Genomic DNA, 18006 nt, shown 5'->3' on the forward strand with positions numbered 1-18006 from the left:
CTACTAAAGAGGTCTATGGCTCAAAAAAGGTTGGAATGCCCTGCAAACTTTCTAAATTGGACTTTGCTGTTAGATTCAAATCCCAATTCTGCGTCTTAACAAGTTGCATCTGCTTGAGCTAAGCACAAGTTCCTCATTTGTGAAGTGGGGTGACAATAGCAACTAACTCCTAGGAATGTTGCATGTCATTAAATGGCAAGTGTTTAGTTTCATACCTGGCACAATTAGTATTAGCTATCTAGGCATATAAACTGTAAGTCACACCAGACGAAAAGTAGAGTGTTTGGCAAAGAATGGCTTGTCAAGCTAGGGTCTTAATTTGAAGACTGTGAAAGGAGGACTTATCTTATGCATAGGTTGACAAAATAGGCCAAGTCTGCTGGGCCACTTAAAACAATGGGGTTTAACATCCCTGATATTTGTCACTACATCTATAGGGAACACATTAATGAACCAATTAATTACAAAAAGGATTTTACTTCTTTGTAAGAAACTATTCTTTAGGGGCCCTTTTAGGAATCTAAAAGCCAGGAGGCACTTAAAACTTGCTGTTCACCTAGTCTTTATTTTATTTTATTTTATTTTATTTTTATTGATCATTCTTGGGTGTTTCTCACAGAGGGGGAATTGGCAGGGTCATAGGACAATAGTGGAGGGAAGGTCAGCAGATAAACAAGTGAACAAAGGTCTCTGGTTTTCCTAGGCAGAGGACCCTGCGGCCTTCCGCAGTGTTTGTGTCCCTGGGTACTTGAGATTAGGGAGTGGTGATGACTCTTAACGAGCATGCTGCCTTCAAGCATCTGTTTAACAAAGCACATCTTGCACCGCCCTTAATCCATTTAACCCTGAGTGGACACAGCACATGTTTCAGTGAGCACAGGGTTGGGAGTAAGGTCACAGATCAACAGGATCCCAAGGCAGAAGAATTTTTCTTAGTACAGAACAAAATGAAAAGTCTCCCATGTCTACTTCTTTCTACACAGACACGGCAACCATCCGATTTCTCAATCTTTTCCCCACTTTTCCCCCCTTTCTATTCCACAAAGCCGCCATTGTCATCCTGGCCCGTTCTCAATGAGCTGTTGGGTACACCTCCCAGACGGGGTGGTGGCCGGGCAGAGGGGCTCCTCACTTCCCAGTAGGGGCGGCCGGGCAGAGGCGCCCCTCACCTCCCGGACGGGGCAGCTGGCCGGGCGGGGGGCTGACCCCCCACCTCCCTCCCGGACAGGGCGGCTGGCCAGGCCGGGGGCTGACCCCCCCACCTCCCTCCCGGACTGGGCGGCTGGCCGGGCAGAGGGTCTCCTCACTTTCCAGTAGGGGCGGCCGGCCGGGCGGGGGGCTGACCCCCCCACCTCCCTCCCGGACTGGGCGGCTGGCCGGGCAGAGGGGCTCCTCACTTTCCAGTAGGGGCGGCCGGCCGGGCGGGGGGCTGACCCCCCCACCTCCCTCCCGGACGGGGTGGCTGCCGGGCGGAGACGCTCCTCACTTCCCAGACGGGGTGGCTGCCAGGCAGAGAGGCTCCTCACTTCTCAGACGGGGCGGCTGTTGGGCGGAGGGGCTCCTCACTTCTCAGATGGGGCGGTTGCCAGGCAGAGGGTCTCCTCACTTCTCAGATGGGGCGGCCGGGCAGAGACGCTCCTCACCTCCCAGACGGGGTCGCGGCCGGGCAGAGACGCTCCTCACATCCCAGACGGGGCGGCGGGGCAGAGGCGCGCCCCACATCTCAGACGATGGGCGGCCGGGCAGAGACGCTCCTCACTTCCTAGATGTGATGGTGGCCGGGAAGAGGCGCTCCTCACTTCCTAGATGGGATGGCGGCCGGGCGGAGACGCTCCTCACTTTCCAGACTGGGCAGCCAGGCAGAGGGGCTCCTCACATCCCAGACGATGGGGGGCCAGGCAGAGACGCTCCTCACTTCCCAGATGGGGTGGCGGCCGGGCAGAGGCTGCAATCTCCGCACTTTGGGAGGCCAAGGCAGGAGGCTGGGAGGTGGAGATTGTAGCCAGCCGAGATCACGCCACTGCACTCCAGCCTGGGCACCATTGAGCACTGAGTGAACGAGACTCCGTCTGCAATCCCGGCACCTTGGGAGGCCGAGGCTGGCGGATCACTCGTGGTTAGGAGCTGGAGACCCGCCCGGCCAACACAGCGAAACCCCGTCTCCACCAAAAAAATACGAAAACCAGTCAGGCTTGGCGGCGCATGCCTGCAATCGCAGGCACTCGGCAGGCTGAGGCAGGAGAATCAGGCAGGGAGGTTGCAGTGAGCCGAGATGGCAGCAGTACAGTCCAGCTTCGGCTCGGCATGAGAGGGAGACCGTGGAAAGAGAGGGAGAGGGAGACCATGGGGAGAGGGAGAGGGAGAGGGAGAGGTCCTAGTCTTGTCCCAACACACACTGGGGATCAGTTGGGTCTGCCAGGTGCCCCCAGTTGGGAGTGACTTGCTGGAAATAAGCTGTTAGAACAAAACTTAAAGCAACCAAGTGATAAAAGGAAAACAATGAACAAATCCAAAAAGCTGAGTTATGAATCAGAAAAGCCTAAGAGACTTCCAGGAGGTGATTTCAGCACCAGGCTGCATTGTTGCAGGGTATTTATACCTTTTCCAAAGGCTGAGAGTTCCTGGAGGTGTGGCAGGTGTGAGGGAGGCAGAGATATTTTATGTTACAACATGGCCAGGGAGAGGACAGAGGCAGGATGTTTCTATTTTATCCACCATTTCACTGTGGGTCAAAAACATAGCCTAGCCCCTATGATTAGGAATAACATCTATTACAGCTGACCCTTAACACAGATTTGAATTACACAGGTCCACTTACATGTGGATTTTTTTCAAGAAAAGTTACACCAAGTGTGCCTGCCTCTACTGCTTCCTCTTCTACCTCCTCTACCTCTTCCACCTGTGTCACCCCTGAAACAGCAAGACCAACCCTCCTCTTCCTCCTCTTCCTCAGCCTATTCAACATGAAGACAATGAGGATAAAGACCTTTACAATGATCCACTTCCACTTAATGAACAAATATATTTTCTCCTCATGATTTTCTTAATAAAGTTTTCTCTAGCTTACTTTATTGTGAGAATATAGTCTATAATAAATATAACATACAAAATATGTGTTAATCAAGTGTATATGTTATCAGTAAGGCTTCCCAGTCAACAGTAGGCTATTAATAGTTAAGTTTGGGGGGGGGGTAGTTAAAAATTATATAAGGATTTTCAACTGTGCAGAGAGGTTGGCACACCTAACTCCTGCATTATTTGAGGGCCAACCTTAATATTTTCTTCTTAAATGTTTATATGCTAGATACTTTACATATTCCTCACAACACTCTAAGATGTAGGTATTATTACCCCCACCCTCTTCTTTAACAGGTGAGAAAACCAACGCTTACAGAATGTGGTTAACCTATCTGAAGTCATGTAGATTACAAGAGATCCTGCAAGGATTCAAAAATTGCAAAATACAGAGAAGTTGAGGGAATTGTACAATGAATACCTACAATTCATACCGGAAGCCTGCCTGACTCTTAGGTCTTTTATATCCATATCACCTGACCAGAAGTTACCAGATTTGCTAGTATAGGAATTTTGCCAGGAGAAAACAGAAATCTGAAAACATCTGTGATTCCAGACTAATGAACAAAGTTCTTATCTTCAAAGTTAATCACCTTTAATGAAAAGGCCATCTCTCCTTTTTGGAGCTTCCTAAGCTTCCTTCAGTGTTTTTCAGGTTTCCTTTGGGCCAGCAAATTCAATCAGAATAATACACAATCTTGGCTGGTATTAGGGCTTCTGTCCCTTTCAAAGGTGCTGTGATAGGGGGATGAAGCTCTCTTGTTGCTGCCATTGGTGATCCTTGGGAGTCTCCCTTCCCTCTCCTGCAGAGCTCAGTGAGAGGCAGCCTTAGGCAAAGTTAAGCTCAGTACACAGCCAATGTCTGGTGAAGCAGAGAGAGAGAGAGAGAGAGAGAGAGAGAGAGAGAGAAGATGGGGACATCTCTGATCTATCCTACCCATCTCTGGGACCAAACATTTGTCAGACTCCATAAAATCATCAACCTTAAACCTGGAAGGGATCACAGAAATGATCCAGTTATACCTCACTTTACTTCTTAAGAAATAGAGGCCTAACAAGGCTTCCAACAGCCATATAACTGGCTAATGGCAGAGCTCACAATCCATCGCTCTTCTCCCTGCACCACAATGTCATTCACAGCCATTCAGTGATGCATCATTACTTTAGAGTACACTTAATACTATCAGGCATGATTTGAGAGGCTGGAGTTGAATTGGCGCCTTCTCTGCCCACGAGGGGCTTAAAATCTAGTGAAAATGACAGGGCCCATTTATTGAACAACTTCCGATGCCTCAAATACATTACTTACTCTACCCAACATTTCAAGTTGTGTTATTTTATGTTCAGAGAGGTTAATGTGTACAAAGATGAATGTGCCCAAAGCATTCATTGGTAGGGCTGGGATTTGAGCCCCTGTCCATTTGACTCTAAATCCTAGGCTTGTTACGCTGTGTAACTCTGCCTCCCTAATATTAACAAATGTGTGGGAGAAGCATAACTATGACCCCTCTACCATGCTGGCTCAGATATCCGTGTGGTTTCTAGAAGATTAAGAAGCTATTATTCTGGTACCTTTCTTACAGGGAAAAGATGAGGTGAAGTAATGCAGAACATGGAAATGACTTTCTAAAAAGGATTTGAAACAGCTGAGAGCAACATAAACAGCAGGTTAAAAGATGAAACAAATATGTAAGTAATGGGGGAAATGAGGACAAAGCAACAACAAAGGATAAAGAGGAAGCCAGGGGTGAAGGAGGGACATAAAATGCCTACCATAGGGTCCAGGAAACCTGCTAGCAGGAGTCAAAGGACTGAGCTGCATTTTGATGAAATCGTTCTCGAAAATGCTAATCTATCCTCATACACAGTCTGTCCATTAATACTAGAAAACAGAAGAAACAGAGAGACAGAATACAAAACTGTTAAGAGTTTCAGCCTCTCTATTCAATGGATTTTAGAGGACTCAACTTGATTCAAACTCCACGTTACACAGACTTTATTAGATACTGTCTTAAACCACAAAATAAACTTTACACCAGTATAGTACAATATAACTTTGTTTGAAAGCAATATCTTTTGCAGGCAAGGCCCAGTTTTCAAAAGGTACATGTGTAAGGCATTATTTAACTATATGTTGAATACAGCAACATTTAGCTGGGGTTTGGAGGCAGAAGACTGAGGCTTAAATGCATTTGATCCCTGTGGTCTAGTCAAGTTATTCTCCGTCTCCAGGTCGGTTTCCTAATTCACAGAATGAGGATAAGATCTGCTTTATCAAATGTTTGTGAGAGTTAACTGAAGTAATAGAGGTGAAATGCCTGGCAATTTCACGTCATTGATGCTGCTGATGAGGTAAAAACTTTTGATTTTCCTCCTTTGCTATGAGCTTATTCTCAGTCCAGTTTTGTTTCGGTGTTGTCTCCTTACCAGAGAGGTTAGTGGTAATTATTGTTAGTGATAACAGACCAGCATCTGGAAATGATATAGAAGACAGCAGATCATGATAATGTCCCTTCCCTTTTCCAAATAAGCACTCTGTCACAGGGTGGGTCCCCCAGAGTTTAGTGTGCAGGGTGTTGATTAGGGACTGCCCTCAGGATCAACATCTGTGGAAGGTGTGGGCAGAAGAAGCTGAGCTGTCATGCAGGCATCACCACAGCCCCTGCCCGTGGGGCGCACTGGAGTGGAAATGGCCCTTCAGAAGCGTCCCAAGGTGGGCCTAGATGGCCCGGCCTTTTTATTCCATGTGGGCCACTCTGGGAAGGGGGGTGACCTCGGTCAAGGGAGTTCTCCACAGCTGAGAAATCCCTGACGAGGCATGTCCTTCATGAAGTGGGGGGTTGAGGAGGTGGTCTGGGCAGTGCCCTACTGCCTATGCTGCACTTCCTCATAGGTTCTCTTTCTTTGGTGGCCCTCCTGCCTTTCCAGACACAGAGAATGTCAACATTCCTCCTAATTCTTTTATTAGAAGTTCCTAGGGCAGATTGAGAGAGATCTGAATCAAAGGTACACAGTGGTTTCCAAGGGAGAAGAGCCTCTTTATGTTCTCGGTTGAACAGCAACTCTGACTTCTTCTGAATGAATTCGTCAGGGGCGAAGGGCAGAATGCAGACAGGCATCACACAGCCCCGTCAAAAGAACCTGAACAAAGGTTGAGGGAGGCTGATGGGGGACATGTATAAAAAACACAGCCTCTGAGAGATCTGAAGTTCATCAAGTTCTACAAGCATGACCATATCCCAACCATATCCTTAAGATAATGAGGGCAAATGAGAGTGTAGCAGGTGCATGGTAGCTTAGTTCAACATCCAGCTTTGAATATAGAAATTAAGTACCTAAATGGCATAATACAAATGGCAGCACCTTCTTGTTGAGAAAAAGCTTTTTTAAAAAGGTGGAGGAGGGGTGCTACGTTCCCTAAATGTTCTTTTAGGAAGGAAACTCAGAAAAGTTTAGTCGCCACAGATATTACTAACGAAATATACCTATTTTCTTTGTCTTAAATCAATTGAGGAGGCCAAGAATTGTCCAAATAACTATAGTCTTCCATGAAACTCACCTCCTTATATCAACAGAAAGAAGGAAATATAAGTTTTCTGCCGGGTATTATACCCAAAAAGAGAGTGTTGTGTTTTTCCAGAGAGGCTACTAAATAATACTTCAGCGAAGCCCACAGAGCGATTATAAAGAGGATGGATGTCCTCCTTATAGTAAAACAGAAAGGGTCATCAAATCTGCTTTGCCAAGTATTTATCTGAATCTCCATTTCAAGACTGAGAGATCAATAATTCATCAGAGGAAAGAAAAAGAATTAATTAAACTACATTAAAACCACCTTATGAAATAAAATACCATGAAATAGCTTATGCACACACTGCTAGGGTCTTTTCTAGAACTTGTCAATTTTGGCTTCTGACAATCACCTCTGGCCAACAAATCTACCTATTATATTAGCTTGGCATCTGTACCTTTGTAGCTATTCGGAGAGGGCTGAAGAGAAAAACGGTGAAGTCCTGCCAACCAAATAAAATGGCACCTGTCAAAACATCAATTTGTGTGAAATGGCAAAAGAACATCTAATATATAGGGTCAGCCAATGAACATCTAAATAATAGTGCTTTTATCAGCAACGTCTGTGCTTGAGTTTACACTTAAAGCACACAATACAGGAACACAGAAGTCATGCAGGTTGAGTTAGAGCTGCCACTGATGTTTCATATTTGAGCTCCACTTCATGACAGGCTAATAGTGCATTTAAAGCATTGTTTATCCTGAACAGACAGAAAAGAGAGGCGGAGACCCTGCTTTGCAGACTACCTGTAATTATGGGTGTGCGTTAAGAGCAAAGAAAGGTCATGCCATTGATCCCATTTAGAAACACAACAGTTCAAAGCCTTTGAGAGTGAAAAGTGTGCGGCAGTGTGGGAGGGGATTTTCTTACAGAAAGTTATCAAAGGCATTATTGTTGTGTTTCTATTCCCAAACTCATATGAGCTCCTCTGAAGAAAAAAAAACCTGGCCAGGTGCGGTGGCTCTCGCCTGTAATCTCAGCCCTTTGGGAGGCCGAGGTGGGTGGATCAGGAGGTCAGGAGTTCGAGACCAGCCTGGCCAACATGGTGAAACCCCATCTCTACTGAAAACACGTAAACTGGCTGGGCGTGGTGGCACATGCTTGTCATCCCAGCTATTTGGGAGGCTGAGGCAGGAAGATCACTTGAACCCAGGAGGGGGAGGTTGCAGTGAGCTGAGATTGTGCCACTGCACTTTAGCCTGGGTGACAGTATTTATCTGAATCTCCTTTGAGACGAAGCAAGGCTTCGTCTCAAAAACAAAAATAAAAACAAAATCAAAGCATGATGTGGACAGACCCTCAGGAAAGTTAGTGACATCTATGCAGGCTTGTAACTTCACTCAGCCAGAGAGAAAGACACTAAAGTACAGAAGAATATCAGACCAGTGCTGGAACAGTGTCCACCTCATGATAAAGTGGATCAAACGGAAAGAAGATGCAGGGAATTAATACATCTTCCCTCTCAAGAGAAGGATGAGGGGTCATAGGAAGTGAAACAAATCCCGGAAAATCTCACTAATTGCGATTTCCGGATTTGTAGAGATGAGTGTTAGAGGCATGGATGGGTTTTAGAAAACATCACATAGTCCTTTACTTTTTTCTCCTGCTCTCTCGACATAAAGCCCTTTGTAAATGCAATCTGTGGAATGGTTTCATCTCAGTTCCACCTCATTCTCTATGAGGCATTTCTCTTTGAGAAACTGTAGTAAGAATCATCTTGTGACATTCGAGAGATTTTCCTGATAACGTCTTTGTATTGCTTTCCTTCATTTTCATTCTGTTATATCCACCTCGGTTTCCTTAGACTATCCTAAAGAAATCTCCCACTGTCAGTTTAGGGATTTAATAATGTGGTAAGATAATTGTAGAAACATTTGAATTATTGGTAAAAGAAAGAAGGTAGACAAGTCTGACACACACACACACACACACACACACACACACACACCGGTTCCCTGCCATATCCAAGCAGCAGTTTTCATCTGTTGAGCTCGAGTCTGCCAGGATTGTCAACACCCCACATCCTTTCAACTGTGAGAATGCAGCAAAAACTCCCTCACACATTTCCAAGGGAGGCTCCCAAACCCTTGCATTATTATGTCCCTTTCAGCTTCACTGCTGCGTGCACTCTAAACATGACAGCCTCTTTCTCCACAGAATACACACACGGGCAGTGAAAGATCTAAGAACAACTTACAAGCAGGGGGAGGTTGAGCTACATTCGGAAACAAATTGCTTTTCAGAGAACCATTTTCAGGAAAGAACCACCACCATTTGCTGCTAAATAAGCCCAAAGAACTTGAGAGGGACTGAGACAGGCTGGCTGGCTGTTTGAACCTGGTATTTCTTTAGAGCTGGGCCTTTCTTTCTAGAACTGTGATTTCATGCTTCAGTTTTTGGTGAAAGGCAAAGGTGTAGGAGAGGTGCATAGTAAAACTGAGCCCTCCAGAAGCACAGCACTGAGGTGATGCTTCCAAGGGGGTGACACACTCCTGGCTCCAGCCCTCTGGATCCACGGAACAGTTTCTTTTTTCTTTGAAACAAGCCTACCATAAAGACTTTTCTATCTACATCTACCTCTACAGTTGTAGACAGACACGTGGATCTTAGAGCAGGAAGTTCCCTTAAATATCAGCTATTCCAGTGGTTAGCCACGGAAGCATTTCTTAGATTGGTGGAGTATCACTAGAAAAGCAGATAGAACTGTTCTGGTTGACGTAGGGGAAGGGTTGGCCACCCCACATCACCACGCAGCCTTCACAATAGCTCCACAGAAACTTAGGTAGACTTAGTTTGAAAACTCTTTCGAGTGTCAAACTGGTGCGTTTCGGGACATAGCTCTGGCTCACCGAGGTGTCTTTGGTTTGGTTCTCCCAATGTTTTAAACATTGTTGTATTAGTTTCAATACTCAGAATCAGTAGATTTTTGCAAAAAGACAAGGATGCCAGGCTCCTGGCAGAAAATCAGAAGATAAAGAGCAAATGCGCCTGCATTGCCTCTTGGCCACAGTGTGTTGGGTCGAGTTGCTGCTTGCTACTGCTTTCACCACGTCTGGATACTGTTAGGTCACATGCCCACCCATTTTGGATTTGCAGCCTCCTCTGAACTCTGATCTAGGCTGTCTCATTTTACAGATGAGGCAACAATAATGATCTGGCTGGGTAGTGGCGAAGGTGGGACAAGAATTGATTTCCTAAGTTCAGGTTTGGAGTTGCCTTTTCAACCATGCATCAGCATTTCTTAAACTGGGGGCAGGTAGATGTAGTTTTCATGATCAATGAGAATATTTTTTCCTTAAAAACACGTCTGTACTTGACTCACATTTGAGAAATCCCACGCTACACCCAGCTGCCAGTGGAATGCCCAAAGATTCACAACTATATATTCAGTTGTTTCTGCTTTGTTATCTGTCTTGGAATAGCGGGACTCCTTGTGGCACAGCTTATTATCCAAATTTGTATATGCTGCTAATCAGATATGTCCCCTGAAACTTAACAGGTAGACAAAGAAAAGGCGTTTTTTTTTTGTTGTTGTTGTTTGTTTTTTTTGGAGACAGAGTTTCACTCTGTAGCCCAGGCTGGAAGGCAGTGGTGCAATCTGGGCTCACTGCAACCTCTGCCTCCTGGGTTCAAGTGATTCTCCCTCCTCAGCCTCCCAAATGGCTAGGACTCCTACAGGCATGCCACTTGGCTATTTTTTTTTGTAGGGATGGGGTTTCACCATGTTGGCCAGGCTGGTCTCGAACTCCTGACCTCAAGTGATCTGCCCACCTCAGCTTCCCTAAGTGCTAGGATTACAGGTGTGAGCCACTGTGCCCAGCCAGAAAAGACATTTTTAAGCAGTAAATAGTTCTGATTCTTCCAAGGTAACCTCACAAAGGGATCCACAGTTAAAGATACAGAAAGGAGTGTCACAGGAGAGCCCATGGCAACAGCACTGCCTTCTACCCCAGAGAGGCCAGGGCAGGAGCAGCTTCAGCCTCAGCTTCTAATAATGATTTGAGTCTGCTATACTGGGAAGTAGCACAGAGTAGTTGGTAAGTGAGTAGGCTCAACTGCGAGATGGCCTGGGTTCAAATTCCAGGTTCACCATTTACTGCTGGCATGATGTTTAAACAAGACATTTAGGTTCTCTGTGCTTTGGCGTAGTCATCTGTCATGGGAATAATATTTACCTTGTGAGAATTCAATGAGATAAGCCACATAGAGCTCAGTGCCTAGCACATAATGAATACTGATAAATGCATGCTATTATTAGCACAGCAGGTTTACAGTTTATAAACCACACTGACATCATTTCCTCCCACGTTTTCCATGTAACACATCTATGAGATAAGTAGGATGGATCGGATTCTGTTTTAACAGACAAAGAATCTGAAGCGGTTGAGTCATCCAAGATCAGGTAACAAATACTCAAATCCAGGCTTTCTGCCTCAAGATCCTAGGTTGCTTCTACTATCCACAATGCCTGTGGGGCCTCTAAGGAGTAGGAATGATTTTCCAAGACTATTCTGAGGCTTAGCTATCAACATGTGTTCATATTTAGTGGGAGCAAATCACTTAAGAGTTAGGGCTTTGAAGGCAAGTAGCAGAGGTGGGTGGAAAACCAGAGAGGGTTTATATAGAGAAATGAAAAACTGCAGCACACTGAGGAAATTTTTCATTTGAAATTTTGAAAACCCTGGAAGGGGATGGTGCTCAAATTACCTGCAGTTTTCAGGCACTGCAGTTTCCAGGTGGGGCCTTCAAGGGCACTCTGGTCAATGTGAGACCTTGGTCTGCTGTTCTCATCGGGGGTGGATGGAGTGCAGTATGGGGACTGGGCAGGAGACTAGGATGGGAGACAGGCAAGAGAAAGGTCCCAGCGAGGGAGCATGAGTGACTCTGCACATTGCTGGTGAGAGAGTTTACAGGAGGCAGCAGTCCCATTTCCCATGCAAACGAAACCTGTCAGATTACAGGATTTTCACTGGGTGCTTTCTATGGTGTTTCCTAAATTATTGCTTTGGATTCCAGAACTTTTATATTAGAACTAGGCACTGCAGCAAGCTTGTTGGAAATCTTGAGTAGTCTGTTTAGGACTACTGCTTGGTCCTAGAGGCAGTAATAGGAAATTGGCTCTAGCCTGGACAGGTACATTTTCAGCTTTATAAGAATCCAAATGGGCCCACAATTTTATTTCCTTTAAGGCCAATGTGGAAGAAATGCGGGTCTCTTTACCCTCCTGTGGTACTGTGGGCACTTTCTTCTCCTCTTGCACTCCTAGACCCCCCCTCTCCCCCGCCCCCCTGCCTCCTCCCCACCTCCCCTCTAGGTCTTGCTGAGGTGGGCCAGGCTGAGGTGAAAGCTGTGCTAAATATCTTCTGAAATAATTTAATGGGTTTCATTTCCTGCAGCCTCTTTCTATCCTCTGAGGGAGACATTTTCCATCTAGCAGGCCATGGTAAAAATGTTGAAAAGAACAATATAGTGTGGAGTAGGAAAAATAATTTTTGTATCTTGGTACCTGAGAAGATGTCCTGCAAGCTCCCTTCCCAAGACGCAGGGGCCCTGGGTGCAGCTCATCAAGATATTGCATTCTTTCCCCATAGGGTTGCCAGAAAAAGCACAGCACAGAAAGCTCAGTTAAATGTGAATTTCAGGGAGGAGAAAACCAATTTTTTAATATAAGCATGTCCCAAATACTGCATGGAACATATTGTTAATAACGCTAAAAAAGTGATGTGCTGCATATCTGAAATTCAAATTTGACCATGTATCTTGTGTTATTTTCTGCTAAATTGGGCCACTCTATTTCCCTAGGAAAGTATCTATATAAGCCTAGTGAGTGGAAAAGAAAAGAAGGCAGGTACTTTGAAGGTCTTCTGAAAACTGAAGAACATAATAAAATGATTAAAGATAATTTTTTCAAAAAAGATCAGTGCATAATACTAACCATTTCAAACAATTAATTTTCATTTTGCATATACTGTTCACATTTTTGTCCCTGAACATTTTTATTTTTTATGAATGTAATGCTGCATAATTGATATTTTGCTTTATTTTTTAAACATTGTCTCAAGTACTTCTTATAATTTTATACTATTTTATAATTATTTTTAAGGGTAATATAATGTTCCATAGAATTGAATATAGATACCTAGATTTAAAAAAAAATTTTTTAAGGATTTCCATACTGTTAGGCATTAAATAGTTCTCAATGTTTAAGTTTGGGGGGTTATTGAAATTAATAAAGTATCTGTATTTCTCTTAAAAATAATGTTATGCCTTTCTTGTCTTTAAGAAAAAGTGAGTATTTAAACATTTTGGGGGACACAAAAGCAGTGTTTGATTTGACAGAGAGTCTCTCCTTGATCAAACTTTTTTTTTTGATCTACTTTTTTTTTTATTATACTTTAAGTTTTAGGGTACATGTGTACAATGTGCAGGTTAGTTACATATGTATACATGTGCCATGTTGGTGTGCTGCACCCAGTAACTCGTCATTTAGCATTAGGTATATCTCCAAATGCTATCCCTCCCCGCTCCCCCCACCCCACAACAGGCCCCGGTGTGTGATGTTCCCCTTCCTGTGCCCGAGTGTTCTCATTGTTCAATTCCCACCTATGAGTGAGAACGTGCGGTGTTTGGTTTTTTGTCCTTGCGATAGTTTGCTGAGAATGATGGTTTCCAGCTTCATCCATGTCCCTACAAAGGACAAGAACTCATCATTTTTTATGGCTGCGTAGTATTCCATGGTGTATATGTGCCACATTTTCTTAATCCAGTCTATCATTGTTGGACATTTGGGTTGGTTGCAAGTCTTTGCTTTTGTGAATAGTGCTGCAATAAACATACGTGTGCTTTAATCAGGCTTCTCTGCTTGCTCTTCCCAGCCAGTCCTCGATTTCTGCATTTCTGTGTCCATCTTTGCATTGTTCAATTTTAATTAGAATCCTGTCACGTCAGTTTAGCCAGAGTCCTCCACCCTTGATATCTGACCAATTTCTTCATTCCCCACATCCCCCAGGTAATGTGTGATCACCCTGGCCTGGCTTTAGCAAGAATCCTATTAGGTCAATTTAGGAAAGACTTACCCTACCATCTCAGTAATTTTCTGACCATCTACCTCCCACCCTGCTCCTTGGCTATAAATCTCTCCTTTTCCTTGTTATATTTGGAGTTAAGCCCAGTCTCTCTCATCCACCGAAAAGCCCCATTATCACAGTCCTCCTTAATAAAGTCTCCCTTATTGTTTTAACAAGTGGTGTGAATAATTTTATCTTTAACAGTTATGGTGCCGCAACTTGGGTAGAGCCAGATTCATTATTGGACCCCTCCAGACCAAAGGTGGGATGTTAAGTACTCACCTTTGAAGCCTGTATCTTCACTCCTGACTGATTGATCAGGGATCCACTGGTGAGTCAGAGTCCTGAACCACTGCTCAGGACAAATGAAGCACAGTAAGGGCAAATTTTGATTCTTACAAGTCTGAGTACACTCTCTAACAGCTGCGTTAGAGGCCCAGATGAACAGAAGTTGGGGCCAAGTACAGTGGCTCACGCCTGTAATCCCAGCACTTTGCGGGGCCGAGGCGGGTGGATCACTCGAGGCCAGGAGTTCGGGACCAGCCTGGCCAACATGGTGAAACCCCATCTCTACTAAAAATATAAAAATTAGCCAGGCGGGGTGGCACACGCCTGTAATCCCAGCTACTTGGGAGGCTGAAGCAGGAGAATGGCTTGAACCTGGGAGGCAGAGGTTGCAGTGAGCTGAGATCGTGCCATTGCACTCCAGCCTGGGTAAAAGAGCAAGACTGTGTCTCAAAAACAACAACAACAAAAACACAGACGTTGGGTAAGAGGCCTAGGCAAGTAGAAGCTGGGCTAGGGGCCCAGGCTTCTTTGTTTGAAAGGTGCCTGCTGGGCTGGATATTTTTCTTCCTGACTCTGTCTTTAGTGAGGATTACTCCCTGACTCTCTAGGCTGGAAGTCTCTTTTCTCAATTATTTCTCTCAAGTGGGGTCTGACTTCCTAACTGTGCATTGGAAAATGTTTCCTGGCTCTTTGTGAGGCCTGCTTTGTTTGATCCTGTTTCTTCCATAGGAACTTCTCAGTTGGCTGAAACCACCTTCCCTAACCCCTGCTGACTATATGCTTTGCCACCTCTGTCCATCTCCTTCTTGTTGGCACGATTTTACTAAAGATAATGTGGAACTTCGTTGTCTTCTTTTGGAAACATAAGTTCGCACCCAACTGACCCCTTTAAGACCACTCCTTTCCCACTGCTTTTGCTCCTTCCCTCACTTTACTACCTTTGATCCCCCTTCTGTCCTCTTGTAGGGGAGCACTTTGATATACCCCTTCGAGTCCCTGCTGCTTCTGCCTTCTGTCCCCCCCACCGCCAGGCCTTTCCTTTCCCACTGCAGCCTTTCAACTGCCTACAGCCACTTGAGCTTTAGGCCCGCTGCCTCCAGTGGGGACTCTCAAAGGATGCAGGGATTCCCAAACAGCAACCACCTGTGGCCAAAAGAAAAGAAGAAGAAAAGGCTAATTGGAAATAGACTAGACATTTTATCTACTCAGCCAGGCTTTGGAGATGTCCAGACAGCTGTTTGATGTCCCCTCACTCTCTTACCTAAAATGTAGTCCATAAACATCAGGGCAAATGAAAATCTTAAGTCTCCTCCACAAATATGGGTAAAAAATATTAGCCCTCATATTGAAGGTGAATAGTTGCATGTATGTCTATGTATGTATGTTATGTATACGTGATATTTTCTTACCTCTGGATGGTATTACAAAATTAATTTATAAAATTCCTTAAAGGAGTTTTATTCAAATTGATTAGAAATAAATGGGTGCTTATATAAACTAAATATTCCTAAAACTCCCAGAAATATAGGAACTAACTCAAATGTTTTTCAGTTTCACATGATGTGGGTAAATCTTTGGTAAGTAAGGTTAGTTTAAGACTATTGGCTTAATAAAAATAGTTGCGTGTTCTTCGTTGTCAGCATTAAACATAGTATGAGCATACTTTTTATTCCACTTGGGATTACTAGCCAAATAAAGTTAAAAATAGTTAATAGGGAAATAACTTGAGATGATATATTAGTTTAATGTTATAATATATCTGTCTGAAAATAGTTTCCAAACTCTTTTTGGTAAATTGAATCCTTAGACTTAATGCTAAATTAAGTAATACATATTTATTAAATATTAATCATTTCTAAGTAAGATAAATTACTCAAGTATTAATTACTAAGCACAAGTTAAGTTTATATTTTTGGCTTCTTATTTTTATATGGTATAGAGAAACTGAAAATATTTGGATCTGTTAATAAAAATAAAAAGTTGTGCTATAAGAAGTGTGAGATGCAGGCGGGCATGATGGCTCATGCCTGTATTCCTAGCACTTTGGGAGGCTGAGGTGGGCAGACTGCTTGAGCCCAGGAGTTTGAGACCAGTCTGGGCAACAAGGCAAAACCCCCTATCTACAAAAAATACAAAAATTAGCCAAATATGGTGGCATACACTTGTAGTCCCAGCCACTAGGGAGGCTGAGGTGGGAGGATCGCTTGAGCCTGGGATGTTGAGGCTGCATTGAGCCCTCATCCTGCCACTTCACTCCAGCCTAGGCAACAGAGAGTAAGGCTCTGTCTCAAAAAAAAAAAGACATGTGAGATGGTATCTTCATAAAATTTGTTAGTCTGCTACAGAATGCTTGTTTATGACAGATAACTCATAATTGTCTACCCCTTACTAACCCTTAGTTTTCTCTGTAAAAGGAGATTACTAATGGTTAAAATTACAATCAATATATGTCAATAAACCTATTGAAAATAATAAGGGAACAACACTGTATGAAAAGTATGCAGGGAAATAGGATGTGTTTTTGATTTGTATTTTCATGGCAATATAATTATTTGCCCCAGTTCAATAAGAATCTAGTCTTGTAATATGACACTATTGTAAACATTGGTTATTTATTACCAAGGCTTTGAGTGACATCTCCTATTTAAGAATGATGTGCATAGGGCTGGATGTGATGGCTCACACCTGTAATCCCAGCACTTTGGGAGGCTGAGATGGGAGGGTCACATGAACTCAGGAGTTCAGGACCAGCCTGGGCAACACAGTGAGATGCCACCTCTAAAAAGAAAATAATAATAAAATAATGATGTGCATAGAATCTGATTTAAGAAACTATGGTTGACTTTATGGAACCAATGCTTATAAAGCTGTCTTGGAAACATCTGGCCTGGTACCCAGTTTATAGTGTTCTAGCCTTACGGATGTCATTCCCTGGCAGGCCTAAAAACCTAAAGATATTTGGTGACCCTAAGAAGAGAGAAATTTACCCAGTCTATTGATATTGCAGGGGAAGTTTGGTGGCAAGTTCTCCAGAGGCTTTTAATATGAGATTTAATATGAGATTCTGTCTTAGACTCTTTAAGACATACCTGAGACTGGGTAATTTAAAAATGAAAGAGGTTCAATGGACTCACAGTTCCACATGGCTGGGGAGGCCTTACAATGATGGCAGAAAGCAAAGGAGGAGCAAAGGCACATCTTACATAGCAGCAGGCAAGAGAATGTGTGAAGGGGAACTGCACTTTGTAAAACCATAAGATCTCATGAGATTTATTCACTATCATGAAAACAGCACAGGAAAAACCTGCTCCCATGATTCAATTACCTCCCACTGGGTCTCTCCCATGACACGTGGGGATTATTACAGTTCAAGGTGGGATTTGGGTGGGGACACAGCCAAACCATATCAGATTCCTATGAGAAGTTCCAGCAAAGCAAACTCAAAAGGTTCTATGTGATCAATTACCATTCTTGCTGCACTTATGTAAATAATCAGGCCAAATCTAATGAGACTAGATTTATTTTGTAAACAAGAATGAAGGAGTGTAGTAATTATAGAGAAAAATTTTATGTTTCAATGGAAAACAATAGTGCACCCTGGTAGGCTCTGTCTTGTACGTTTTGTCAGTCCTTAACAAATTCTCAATTCTTTTCATTTCCTCTGATCTGACTACAACTCTTCAAACTAACACTTCTAGTTTTTTTCCTACCCTCGTGGCTTGACATCATGGAGGACTAAAACTGCCCTTTTCCCAAAGTCCTGAAAGCTGAAGCTAGACAACTCTATATATAAGCTTCAAAGAAATCACAACAGATCACGTCTGGACAATCTTTGCTGGCTGCTGTAAGGGCCATTCAGAAAGTTCAACTAAATGCCAAATGCCATTACCAAAGACACTGAAACTGCAAACCAGGAAACCTGTCAGATTGCTACTGCCATCCTCATTCTACTGCCTAAAGATGCTCCAAGCCCATTATCTAGAAATTTTCTGAACTGTTTGCTCT

General features: G+C 43.8%; 1 long non-coding RNA gene across 2 annotated transcripts in view, besides 1 other annotated feature; it reads right to left on the reverse strand.

Moving 5' to 3' along the window:
- Positions 507–1320: an enhancer, noted in NCBI's record as "NANOG-H3K27ac-H3K4me1 hESC enhancer chr6:15725723-15726536 (GRCh37/hg19 assembly coordinates)". NCBI's record gives its function as "activates a minimal SCP1, AML or CMV promoter by ChIP-STARR-seq in naive H9 embryonic stem cells {active_cell/tissue: H9 hESC(naive)}" and the evidence as "EXISTENCE:reporter gene assay evidence [ECO:0000049][PMID:30033119]".
- The window catches only part of LOC102724520 (uncharacterized), a 28166-nt gene continuing 15214 nt past the window's right edge, over positions 5055–18006 (reverse strand). For both annotated transcript variants that reach the window (XR_427882.5, XR_427883.5), the window contains one exon: positions 5055–5547. This is a non-coding gene — a long non-coding RNA (uncharacterized LOC102724520). The remainder of the gene's footprint in view (positions 5548–18006) is intronic.

This window comes from Homo sapiens, chromosome 6 (genome assembly GCF_000001405.40).
Source record: "Homo sapiens chromosome 6, GRCh38.p14 Primary Assembly".
NCBI classification, from domain to species: Eukaryota; Metazoa; Chordata; class Mammalia; order Primates; family Hominidae; genus Homo; species Homo sapiens.